General features: G+C 47.1%; 1 pseudogene, besides 1 other annotated feature; it reads left to right on the forward strand.

Annotated features, from left to right (window-relative positions):
- On the forward strand, nucleotides 5,899-6,436 carry LOC100421332 (zinc finger with KRAB and SCAN domains 1 pseudogene; annotated as a pseudogene).
- Nucleotides 6,452-7,212: an enhancer, noted in NCBI's record as "H3K27ac-H3K4me1 hESC enhancer chr17:4965616-4966376 (GRCh37/hg19 assembly coordinates)". NCBI's record gives its function as "activates a minimal SCP1, AML or CMV promoter by ChIP-STARR-seq in primed H9 embryonic stem cells {active_cell/tissue: H9 hESC(primed)}" and the evidence as "EXISTENCE:reporter gene assay evidence [ECO:0000049][PMID:30033119]".

Here is a 12,498-nt window from a genome sequence, read left to right on the forward strand (position 1 = left end):
CTTTTTCATTTCTTTTCTTTTCCTTTTTTTTTTTTTTTTTTTTTTTTTAATTTTTGAGACAGAGTTTCGCTTTTGTCACCCAGGCTGGAATGCAATGGCACGATCCCGGCTCACTGCAACCTCTGCTTCCGGGTTCAAGTGATTCTCCTGCCTCAGCCTCCTGAGTAGCTGGGACTACAGGCACCCGCCACCATGCCTGGCTAATTTTTTTGCATTTTTAGTATAGACGGGGTTTCACCGTGTTAGCCGGGATGGTCTTGATCTCCTGACCTCGTGATCCGCCTGCCTCGGCCTCCCAAAGTGCTGGGATTATAGGTGTGAGCCACCGCACTTGGCCTCTTTCTTTCTTTTTTTGGAGTTTTGCTCTTGTTGACCAGGCTGGAGTGCAATGGTGTGATCTTGGCTCACCACAACCTCTGCCTCCCGGGTTCAAGTGATTCTCCTGCCTCAGCCTCCCGAGTAGCTGGGATTACAGGCATGCACCACCACGCCCGGCTAATTTTGTATTTTTAGTAGAGATGGGATTTCTCCATGTTGGTCAGGCTGATCTTTAACTCCTGACCTCAGGTGATCTGTCCCCCTCGGCATCCAAAAGTGCTGGGATTACAGGCGTGAGCCACTGCGCCCAGCCTGGTCTGTGTTTCTTTTACTGCTGTCAGTTTCTTGTTCAGGTTCACAAATTTGTTATATATACATAACAAATATAATATTTAATATATATATACTTTTTTTTTTAGCCTCACTCTGTCTCCGAGGCTGGAGTGCAGTGGCATGATCTCGGGTCACTGCAACCTCTGCCTCCCGAGTTCAAGCAATTCTCGTGCCTCAGCCTTCTGAGTAGCTGGGATTACAGGTGGGTACCACCATGCCCGGCTAATTTTTGTATTTTTAGTAGAGATGGAGTTTTGCCATGTTACCCACGCTGGTCTCAAACTCCTGAGCTCAAGTGATCCACCTGCCTTGGCTTCCCAAAGTGTTGGGGTTACAGGCGTGAGCCGCGGCTCCCAGCCTACGGATATATATACTCTTAACTACAGTCTGTACCAGCCTGGGCAACATGGTGAAACCCGGTCTCTACAAAAAAATACAAAAATTAGTCAGGCAAGGTGGCGCGTGCCTGTAGTGCTCTGAGCATGCAGAGCATTATATTAAGTACTTTACTTCAGATAACTTTGATTTTACATGTCCACCTCTTCCATTAGACTGAGTGTAACTCCAGTGTGCTCAATAAATGCAGAGATCTTAAAATATGTTTGACTGATTTTTTTTTTCTTTTAGAGACGGAGTCTTGCTCGGTCGCCAGGCTGGAGTGCAGTAGTGTGGTCTCAGCTCACTGCACCCTCCATCTCCCGGGTTCAAGCAATTCTCCTGCCCCAGCCTCCCGAGTAGCTGGGACTACAAGCGCGCACCACCACGCCTGGCTAATTTTTGTCTTTTTAGTAGAGACGGGGTTTCACTATATTAGCCAGGATGGTCTCGATCTCTTGACCTCGTGATCTGCCTGCCTCCGCCTCCCAAAGTGCTGGGATTACAGGCGTGAACCACCGCGCCCATCCATTTGATTGATTTTTACTAGGCTCCTCTAGTGGATTCAAATTTCGTTTAAGGTTACTAAGTTTAGTAAGAGTCAGCAATCCTTTTGGCCCTTAGGGAACTCTAAACCTTCTGTGATTTTCAGCATAGAACTTCACCAGTTTAAAAAAAAAAAAAACACAAACCTTCTAGGAAGAAGAAAAAGTTGAGAGGAAGAGAGAAATAAGAGTAGAAGTGGGAAAGAAACACAAGAAGAGAAGAAATGGCCAAAGGGCAAAGCGGCAGGTAGGGAGGGCATATGGTAGGAAGGGCCACAGCCCCTAAAGGCAGGTCAGGGATAGGTGAGAGTACTGAATCCACAGGCTGCCCACACTGAGAACTTCCCTGTTGAAAAGAATCATCACTGCTTTATCCTTTGTTCAGTCCTGCCACTAACCCCATTGGTTTCTCTTGTGATGACCCAATATTCCTTCCCCCAGCACAAATTTCCGAGTTTGTTGAGGACACAGGCTGTCCTGCCCTGTTGGTTCCCACTTTGGAAGCCACAGTGTTTTTGGGAACCACTTTTTTATGTTTTTTTTTGTTTTTTTTTTTGAGACAGAGTCTCATTCTATCGCCAGGCTGGAGTGCAATGGCACGATTTCCGCTCACTGCAACCTCCGACTTCCGGGTTCAAGCGATTCTCCTGCCACAGCCTTCCGAGTAGCTGGGATAACGGGCACGTGCCACCATGCCCAGCTAATTTTTTTTTTTTTAGACAGAGTTTCACTCTTGTTGCCCGGGCTGGAGTGCAATGGCATGATCTCAGCTCACCGCAACCTCTGCCTCCCAGGTTCAAGCGATTCTCCTACCTCAGCCCCACAAGTAGCTGGGATTACAGGCATGTGACACCATGCCCAGCTAATTTTTGTATTTTTAGTAGAGACAGGGTTTCACCATGTTGGCCAGGCTGGTCTTGAACTCCCGACCTCAGGTGATCCACCCACCTCGGTCTCCCAAAGTACTGGGATTACAGGCATGAGCTACCACGCCCAGCCTTTTTTTTTTTTTTTTTTGAGACAGGTTCTTGCTCTGTTTCCCAGGCTGGAGTGCAGTGTCACAATCTTGGCTCACTGCAACCTCTGCCTCCTGGGCTCAACTGATCGTCCCACATCAGCCTCCTAAGTAGCTGGGACTACAGGCAAGCACCACTACGCCCGGCTAATGTTTATATTTTTGTTTGTGTGGAAACAGGGTTTCACCATGTTGCCCAGGCTGGTCTCGAACTCCTGGACTCAAAGGATCCACCTGCCTCAGCCTCTCAAAGTGCTGGGATTACAGGCATGAGCCACCCTGACTGTTAACCCATTTTATGGGTGTATCTTAATTAATTAAACCACTTCCCTGTGGATACATTTAAACTGTTTCACACTATTTGGTGTTATGAACAACGTTGCACCGAATAACTTTGTATTCATGTAAATTTACAGACAAGAGTATCTGCAGAATACGTTTGGGAAGTGGATTTGCTCAGTCAAAGGGTGCATGACTATTACCTTTGGGAAGATTTGCTCTCCCTGTAATTTGTACCAATTTGCAATCCTCTAACAATGAACAAGTGCTCTTACCTCCCACCCCTGCCCCCAACAAAGTTGTATCATTAAAAATAATCTTGCCCGGCGCAGTGGCTCATGCCTGTAATCCCAGCACTTTGGGAGGCTGAGGCGGGCTGATCACGAGGTCAGGAGTTCAAGACCAGCCTGACCAAGATGGTGAAACCCCGTCTCTACTGAAAAAAAAAAAAAAAAAAGCCAGGCTTGGTAGTGCGCCTGTAATACCAGCTACTCAGGAGGCTGAGGCAGGAGAATAGCTTGAACCCAGGAGGCGGAGGTTGCAGTGAGCCGAGATCACACCCCTGCACGCACCACTGCACTCCAGCCTGGGCAACAGAGTGAGACTCTGTCTCAAAAAAAAAAAAAAAAAAAAAATCTTTACCAGTGAGCTAGGTGAAAACGTGACATACGTGGCAAAGAAAATTAACACCATATGTATTAGTTTGCTCAGGCTGCCATGATGAAATACCATGTCATCATTTTTCCTCTGTCTCAAGGACACAGGCACCCATGTCTGGGTGGCTTAAACCAGACATTTATTTTCTCACAGCTGTGGAGGGTAGACGTCCAGTATCAAGGTTCCACCCAATTTGGTTTCTGGGGAAGGCTCTCTGCTTGGCTTGCAGATGGCTGTCTTCTCGCTATGTCCTCACGTGGCCTTTCCTCTGTGCAAGTGTGCAGGTTATGGGGAGGTGGTGGTGGGGCAGTTAGGGGAGTGCTGGGGAGAGGGAGGGAGAAAGGGAGAGGATGAGAGAGCTCTCTGGTGTCTCTTCTTTCTCCTTCTTCCTTTCTCCCTCCTCCCTCCTCCCCCCTCCTCCTCCTCCTCCTTCTCCTCCTTCCTCTACTTCTCCATCTCCATCTCCTTCTCCTTCTTTCTTCTTTCTTCTTCTCCTTCTCCTTCTTCTTCATCTCTTTTTTTGAGACAGGGTCTCACCCTGTCGCCCACGCTGCAGTGCAGTAGCCCAGCGATCATGGTTCACTGTAGCCTCAGTCTCCTTGGCTCCAGTGATCATGGTTCACTGTAGCCTCGGTCTCCTTGGCTCAAGGGATCCTCCCACCTCAGCCTTCTGAGTAGCTGGGACCACAATCATGCACCACCATGCCCAGCTAATTTTTAAATTTTTTGTAGAGATGGCATCTCACTATGTTGCCCAGGCTGGTCTGAAACTCCATGGTTCAAGCCATCCTCCTGTCTTGACCTCTCAAAGTGTTGGGATTACAGGTCTGAGCCACTGCTTCTGGCCAGGGCCTCAAATTTATGACTTCATTGAACCTTAATTACTTCCAATTAATTATTCCAAATATAGCCATGCCATGAGTTGGGTCTTTAACGTATGAATTTTTTGGGAACACATATATTCAGTCCATAACGCTATACTCTAATCAGAGAATTCATATTATGGAAGAATCCTATGAACAGAGTAGATGTGAGAGCACTTTTTTTTTTCTTTTGAGATGGAGTCTTGCTCTGTCACCTAGGCTGGAGTGCAGTGGTGCGATCTCTGCTCACTGCAATCTCTGCCTCCCGGGTTCAAGTGATTCTCCTGCCTCAGCCTTCTGAGTAGCTGGGACTACAGGCATCCACCACCATGCTCACTGATTTTTGTATTTTTAGTAGAGATGGGGTTTTACCATATTGGCCAGGCTGTTCTCAAACTCTTGACCTTGTGATCCACCCACCTTGGCCTCCGAAAGTGCTGGGATTACAGGTGTGAGCCACCGCGCCCAGCAGTGAGAGCACTTTCAAAGGGAAGTTAGAGCTCATTAGATATTGTTGAATTCATAGTAGAAAGACTTATGAATGTAATAAATGTGGGAACATTTTTTTGAGACAGAGTCTTGCTCTGTTGCCTAGGCTGGAGTAAAGTCGCATGATCATGGCTCACTGTAGCCTCGACCCCTCAGGCTCAAGCGATCCTCCCACCTCAGCCTCCCGAGTAGCTGGGACTACAGGTGCGTGCCACCATGCCTGGCTAATTGTTTTAGTTTTTGTAGAGACAGGGTCTCCCTATGTGGTCCAGGCTGGTTTGGAAATTCTGGGCTCAAGTCATCCTCCTGCCTCGGCCTCCCAAAGTACTGGGATTACAGGAAAGAACCACCACCCCTGGCTGGAAAATATTTCAGGTGGTGATCTCAACTTGTTCAACATCAGATAATTCATTTGGGGGGAAAACCCTGTAAGGGCGTCGAGTGTGGAAGAGCCTTCAGCTAGAGCTTAGGTCTTACTGAACATCACACAATTCACATTGGAAAAAAACCCTGTGAAAGTAAGGAGTGTCGGCCAGATGCAGTGGCTCACGCCTGTAATCCCAGCACTTTGGGAAAGCCCAGATGGGCGGATCACCCGAGGTCAGGGGTTTGAGACCAGCCTGGCCAACATGGTGAATCTCCATCTCTACTAAAAATAGAAAAAAATGGCCTGGCGCAGTGGCTCACGCCTGTAATCCCAGCACTTTGGTAGGCCGAGGCAGGCAGATCACGAAGTCAGGAGATCGAGACCATCCTGGCTAACCCGTCTCTATTAAAAATACAAAAAAGTAGCTAGGCGTGGTGGTGGGTGCCTGTAGTCCTAGCTACTCGGGAGGCTGAGGCAGAGAATGGCGTGAACCCGGAGGCGGAGCTTGCAGTGAGCTGAGATCATGCCACTGCACTCCAGCCTGGGCAACAGTGCGAGACTCTGTCTCAAACAAACAAACAAAAAATATATATATATACAAAAAAAAATTAGCGAGGCGTGGTGGTGCGTGCCTGTAATCCCAGCTACTCGGGAGGCTGAGGCAGGAGAGCTCCTTGAGCCCGGGAGGTGGAGGTTGCAGTGAGCCGAGATTGCGCCATTGCACTCCAGCCTGGGCAACAAGAGCGAAACTCTGTCTCAAGGAAAAAAAAAAAAAAAAAAAGTAAGGAGTGCAGGTAAATATTTAGCTATAATTTAGCCTTACTAGAGACTTCATGTTAGAAGAGAAATCCTTTGAATGTAAAGACTGCAGGAAAGCCTTTCCTCAGAATCCTCATCTTATTCTACATCACCGAATTTGCTCAGGAGAGAAATCCCATAATTTATTGAATGTGGTCAGCCTTTAATCAGAGCTCAAATCTTCGTCCACATCAAAGAATTACCTCTGGGGAGAAAACCTGTGAGTGACATAAATATTGGAAGTCCTGCAATTATAGTTCATGCCTTACTCTACCCCAGATAATTCATATCAGAGAGAAACTGTTTGAATGTAACAGATGGGTAAATGCTGTCTGGCCTAGGTCAATCTTTATGACAATATCAAATAATTCGTCTCAGGGAATAATCCTATGACTGCAATGAAAGAGAATATCTTCGGCCAGTCTAAGAAAACACCACAAACATAAGAGTATGCATGTTTATACATATCTCTTGATATCAAAATAATTAGAAAAAATCTAGAGGAGGTGGATTAGTCCACATACTGAATTTCATGGGTTAACTGAAATTTAGACAAATGATTGAAGACTCTCTGTCTAGACAAAGTGGCAGCTGCATCAGGGAGACCTGGGACTCAACTGTCCTTCCTCATCCACTTTCCCGGCCACAGTTGAAATTCTTGTCTGTAGGTTGCTGGCGCCACCTGATGCCCAGCAAGAAAACTGCCTCTTTATTCCCGAGTAGGGAAGAAGACGCCTAAATCTGTAAACATATCTCCTTCTCTTTTTTTTTTTTTGAGACAGAGTCTCGCTCTGTTGCCCAGGCTGGAGTGTAATGGCGCAATCTCGGCTCTATGCAACCTCCACCTCCCGGGTTCAAGCGATTCTCGTGCCTCAGCCTCTTGAGTAGCTGGGACTACAGGTATGCACCACCATGCCCAGCTAATTTTTGTATTTTTAGTAGAGACAAGGTTTCACCATATTGGTCAGGCGGGTCTTGAACTCCTGACCTCGTGATCCACCTGACTTGGCCTCCCTAAGTGCTGGGATTATAGGCGTGAGCCACTGTGCCTGGCCTTCTTTTCTTTTTCAGACAGAGTCTTGCTATGTCGCCCAGGCTGGCGTGCAGTGGCGCGATCTCGACTCACTGCAACCTCTGCCTCCCGGGTTCAAGCAATTCTCATGCCTCAGCCTCCCGAGTACCTGGGACGACAGGCGTGCACCACCACGCCAGGCTAATTTTTTGTATTTTTAGTAGAGACGGGGTTTCGCCATGTTGGCCAGATGGGTCTCCAACTCCTGACCTCAGGTGATCCGCCCACCTGAGCTTCCCGAAGTCCTGGGATTACAGGCCTGAGCCACCACGCCCAGCCTCTTGTTCTCTTTCAACATTCAGTTTACTTAATTGTGCTTCCTCACGCAAAGGATAACCTTCCTCACACAAACACCCTTTCCTGCTCCCCTTTTCTTCCAACTGTTGCCTGCTGCCTCAGGAAAATCTCTCTGTCTCCTTCTTCATGGCAGGAGTAGCTGAGTGGGAACTGCCATTGTATAGTACCTGCGACAGCCTGGCAGGTGTGAAGTGCTTTGTCTGCAGTATCTCATTTAATTCTCACATGAACCCTGTGTGCTAATAGTACTCCCATTTTATAGGAGAGGAACCTAAACTCAGAGCTCAGGGCACTTTCCTAGGTACATGGGAAATAGCAGAAGCCCAAGGGGAGTGTGGGATTGTCTTCAAAGCTCATGCTTTATGAGTGGTTCTTAACCCCGGAGGGCTCATTTTTTTTTTTTTTTTTTTTTTTTTTGAGATGGAGTCTGACTGTGTCGCCCAGGCTGGACTACAGTGGCACCATCTCAGCTCACTGTAACTTCCTCCTCCCAGGTTCAAGCGATTCTCCTGCCTCAGCCTCCCGAGTAGCTGGGACTACAGGTGCCTGCCACCACGCCTGGCTAATTTTTGTATTTTTAGTAGAGACTGGGTTTTGCCATGTTGGCCAGGCTGGTCTCAAAACTCCTGACCTGAAGTGATCCTCTTGCCTTAGCCTCCCAAAGTGCTGGGATTACAGGCATGAGCCATCATGCTTGGCCAAGCCTGGAGAACTCTTTTAAAAGTACCAATGCTGGCTGGGCACGGTGGCTAATGCCTGTAATCCCAGCACTTTGGGAGGTCGAGGTGGGCAGATTGCTTGAGCCCAGGAGTTCCAGACCAGTTTGGGCAGCATAGTGAGACCCCTGTCTCTACAAAAAATTTAAAAAAAAATTAGCTGAGCATGGTGGTGCATGCCTGTGGTCCTAGCTACTCAGGTAGCTGAGATGGGAGGCAGTGAGCTGTGATCATGCCACTGCATTCCAGCCTGGGCAACACTGTGAAACCGTGTCTCAAAAAAAAAAAAAAAAAGAAAGAAAAGAAAAGAAAAAAGAAAAGGTACCAATGCTTGCCCTCCTTCTCCAAATTTTTTTTTTTTTTTGACAGAGTCTCACACTGTCGCCCTGTCGCCAGGCTGGAGTGAGTGGCGCAATCTCGGCTCACTGCAACCTCCGCCTCCTGGGTTCAAGTGTTTCTCCTACCTCAGCCTCCTGAGTAGCTGGGACTACAGTTGCATACCACCACCTTGGCCTCCCAAAGTGCTGGGATTACAGGCGTGAGCCACCGCTCCCAGCCTCCTCCTCCAAATTTTAATTGATCTGGGGTGAGGCATGGTGTTACAGACTGAACTGCATTCCCCCAAAATTTATATGTCGAAGCCTTAATCCCAAATGTGACTGTATTTAGAGATAAGGCCTTTAAGGAGGTAATTGAGATTAAATAAGCCTGACCAACATGGAGAAACCTCATCTCTACTAAAAATACAAAAATTAGCCAGGCGTGGTGGTGCACACCTGTAATCCCAGCTACTCGGGAGGCTGAGGCAGGAGAATCGCTTGAACCCAGGAGGCAGAGGTTGCAGTGAGCCGAGATTGTGACACTGCACTCCAGCCTGGGCAACAAGAGTGAAACTCCATCTCAAAAGAAAAAAAATAAATAAATAATAAAAATAAAATAAAAAGAATTCATGTGTTAGATGATTTTAGGGCAGTTGGCCAGTCACACAAGCTGAAGGCTGGGCTGAAACAAAATAATATGTGAATGTTGGGTGCAATTGTTTTGAGTAGAGACTAAAGGGGCAGAACTGTTCTTTGTTCTCTGAGAAGGCTGAAATGTCCACTGCATTGCATAATTTAACACCTAGTCCTTGTCAAGAGAAGGGAATTCCCTTGATTTTGAAAAGTCCTAATACAATCATTTATATCCGTCTCCGCACAGCCCAGCCCCTCTGGGTTCAGCCCGTCTCCTGTCATTCTTACAACCCACATCCCATATTAAGCAGTGATTATTAGGATGATGGGAGATGTCACCTGCTTACCCAGTTTGGACATGTTTGTCCATCTCTGCTGGTAATGCTGCTTTTACCCTTGTGGGATCTGGTGACTTTCAACAATTGCCCATTAGTGCTGGAAATGGGCCCAGATTCTTCCAACATTTTGGCACCAAAGACACTGCCAAGAACAATCTCAACTTCCTTGGGTCCAGCACTGTTAGGTCAAATTACATGCTCAATCACAAGTGGAGAAGAGTCTAGTTTTGAGCATCGGTTGAGTACAACTTTACAAAATTGCTGATTCAGGGGTGGCCCTATGGAAAAATAAGGAAATGCCAAATAGAGTTTAAAAGGTATGTCTAATGAGACAAGAAAGATGAGGAGAAGCAGAAACCCAGATGGATTTGAAATATCTGCAGGCTTGTCATGGTGACTCCTGCCTGTAATCTTGGAATTTTGGGAGGCAGAGGCAGGAGGATTGCTTGAGCCCAGGAGTTTGAGATCAGTTTGGGCAACACAGGGAGACTCCACCTCTACAAAAAATGCAAAAAATTAGCGGAGCATTGTGGCACACACCTATAGCTCCAGCTACTCAGGAGGCTGAAGCGGGAGGATCACTTGAGCCTGGGAGTTGGAGGCTGCAGTGAGCCCACATCACAGCACTGTACTGCAGCCTGGGCAACAGTGTGAGATTCCGTTTCAAAAATAAAAATAAAAGAAATATCTGCAAACATCTGCTCCTTACACTGGTTGCACACATACTTCACCTCAATTCCATTTGAAAGTCTCCCCTATTTTAAGTTTTCTAATATCCACAGTCAAGATCAACCAGTCTCATAAGTCAGTCATCTAGTTTCTGCATTTTGGATCTCTGACCTTCAGATATTATATAGAAATTGTGGACTCTAGTGTCAGCCATTGTTTCTCATCTAATCCTATAAAAAAGTTGAATTCAAATAACTATTGAGGCTGGGCGTGGTGGCTCACGTCTGTAATCCCAGTGCTTTGGGAGGCCGAGGCAGGTGGATTGACTGAGCTCAGGAGTTCGAGACCAGCCTGGGCAACACGGTGAAACCCCGTCTCTACTAAAATACAAAAAATTAGCTGGGCGTGGCGGCATGAGCCTGTAGTCCTAGTTACTCAGGAGACTGAGGCAGGAGAATTGCTTGAACCCGGGAGGCGGAGGTTGCAGTGAGCTAAGATTGCGCCGCTGTACTCCAGTCTGGAAAAGAGCAAGACTCCATCTCTAAAAAAAAAAAAAAAGAAAAAAAGAAAGAAAAAAAAATTGTGGACTCTAGTGTCAGTCAGTGTTTTTCATCCAATCCTACACAGAAGTTGAATTCAAATAACTATTGAGGCCGGGGGTGGGGGCTGGCTCACGCCTGTAATCCCAGAACTTTGGGAGGTTGAGGTGGGCAAATAACTTAAGGTCAGGAGTTAAAGGCCAGCCTGGCCAACATGGTGAAATCTTGTCTCTACTAAAAATACAAAAATTAGCTGGGCATGGTGGTGCACGCCTGTAATCTCAGTTACTTGGGTGGCTGAGGCAGGAGAATTACTTGAACCCGGGAGGTGGAGGCTGCAGTGAGCCAAGATCACACCACTGTACTCTAGCCTGGGCAACAGAGTGAGACTCTGTCTCAAAGAAAAGCCGGGTGTGGTGGCTCACACCTGTAATCCCAGCACTTTGGGAGGCTGAGGCAGGTGGATCACCTGAGGTCAGAAGTTTGAGACCAGCCTGGCCAACATGGTGAAACCCTGTCTCTACTAAAAATACAAAAATTAGTTAGGTGTGGTGGTGGGCGCCTGTAATCCCAGCTATTTGGGAGGCTGAGGCAGGAAAATCGCTTGAACCCGGGAGGCAGAGGTTGCAGTGAGCTGAGATCATGCCACTGCATTCCAGCCTGGGCGACAGAGCGAGACTTGGTCTAAAAACAGAATAAAACAAAACAAAAAACCAACCAAGAAAACCTATTGATCTAATGTGATGTGAGGGGCTCTGAAAAGTCAGCTGGCTACTTTGCTCTTTTTACCACTTTTACCCTGTGCCTAAAATTCCTGCCATTAGACTTCTGTGTTAAGGTACTGTTTCTTGAAGGTCACTGTTAAAATTCGAGGTAATCTCAGAAGACTTTCCATATAAGGATTTTTTTTTTTTTCGAGATGGAGTTTAGCTCTTGTTGCCCAGGCTGGAGTGCAATGGTGTGATCTTGGCTCACTGCAACCTCTGCCTCCCAGATTCAAGTGATTCTCCTGCCTTAGCCTCCCAAGTAGCTGGGATTACAGGCCTGTGCCACCACACCCGGCTATTTTTTGTATTTTTTGCAAAGACGGGATTTAGCAGAGATGGGATTTCATTACGTTGGCCAGGCTGGTGCTGAACTCCTGACCTCAAGTGATCCACCCGCCTTGGCCTCCCAAAATGTTGGGTGGCATGAGCCACTGCCCCGGCCCCATGTAAGCATTTGTCAGTCAACCTGTACAGACCATCTCTGGTCAGTTCTGTGCCACAGGTGCAATGCCTAAGGGTGGAGAACTGAGTGAGGAGATGGAAAATACTCTTATAATGGCTGGGCATGGTGGCTTACGCCTGTAATTTCAGCACTTTGGGAAGCTGAGGTGGGTGGATCACTTAAGGTCAGGAGTTTGAGACCAGCCTGGTTAACATAGTGAAACCCCGTCTCTACTAAAAATACAAAAATTAGCTGGACGTGGTGGCGGGTGCCTGTAATCCCAGCTACTCGAGAGGCTGAGGCAGAATTGTTGAACCCAGGAGGTAGAGGTTACAGTGAGCCGAAATCACGCCACTGCAGTCCAGCTTAGGCAACAGAGCAAGACTCTGTCTCAAAAAAATTAAAAAAAAAAGGAAAAACAAATATTCTCACAAGACAACGCAAGCTACAACAAGTCAACTTAACTCAAATGCTAAGAGTCAGGAAGGGCAGTGGAGGAGTGGTTGGAGTGAGAAGAGAGGACTCAAGATGGCTTTGTGCGTGTGCTTGTTTCGAATGAGGTCTTAAAGTAACTCAAGTATTGAAGCCAGCTAAGTAACCCAAACGCCATCATTGTACAGGGTTTTATTTTGGTAGAAGGGGGATGCTTTATGCACACATAAGGCA

The sequence above is a fragment of the Homo sapiens genome, chromosome 17, assembly GCF_000001405.40.
Source record: "Homo sapiens chromosome 17, GRCh38.p14 Primary Assembly".
Taxonomy (NCBI): Eukaryota; Metazoa; Chordata; class Mammalia; order Primates; family Hominidae; genus Homo; species Homo sapiens.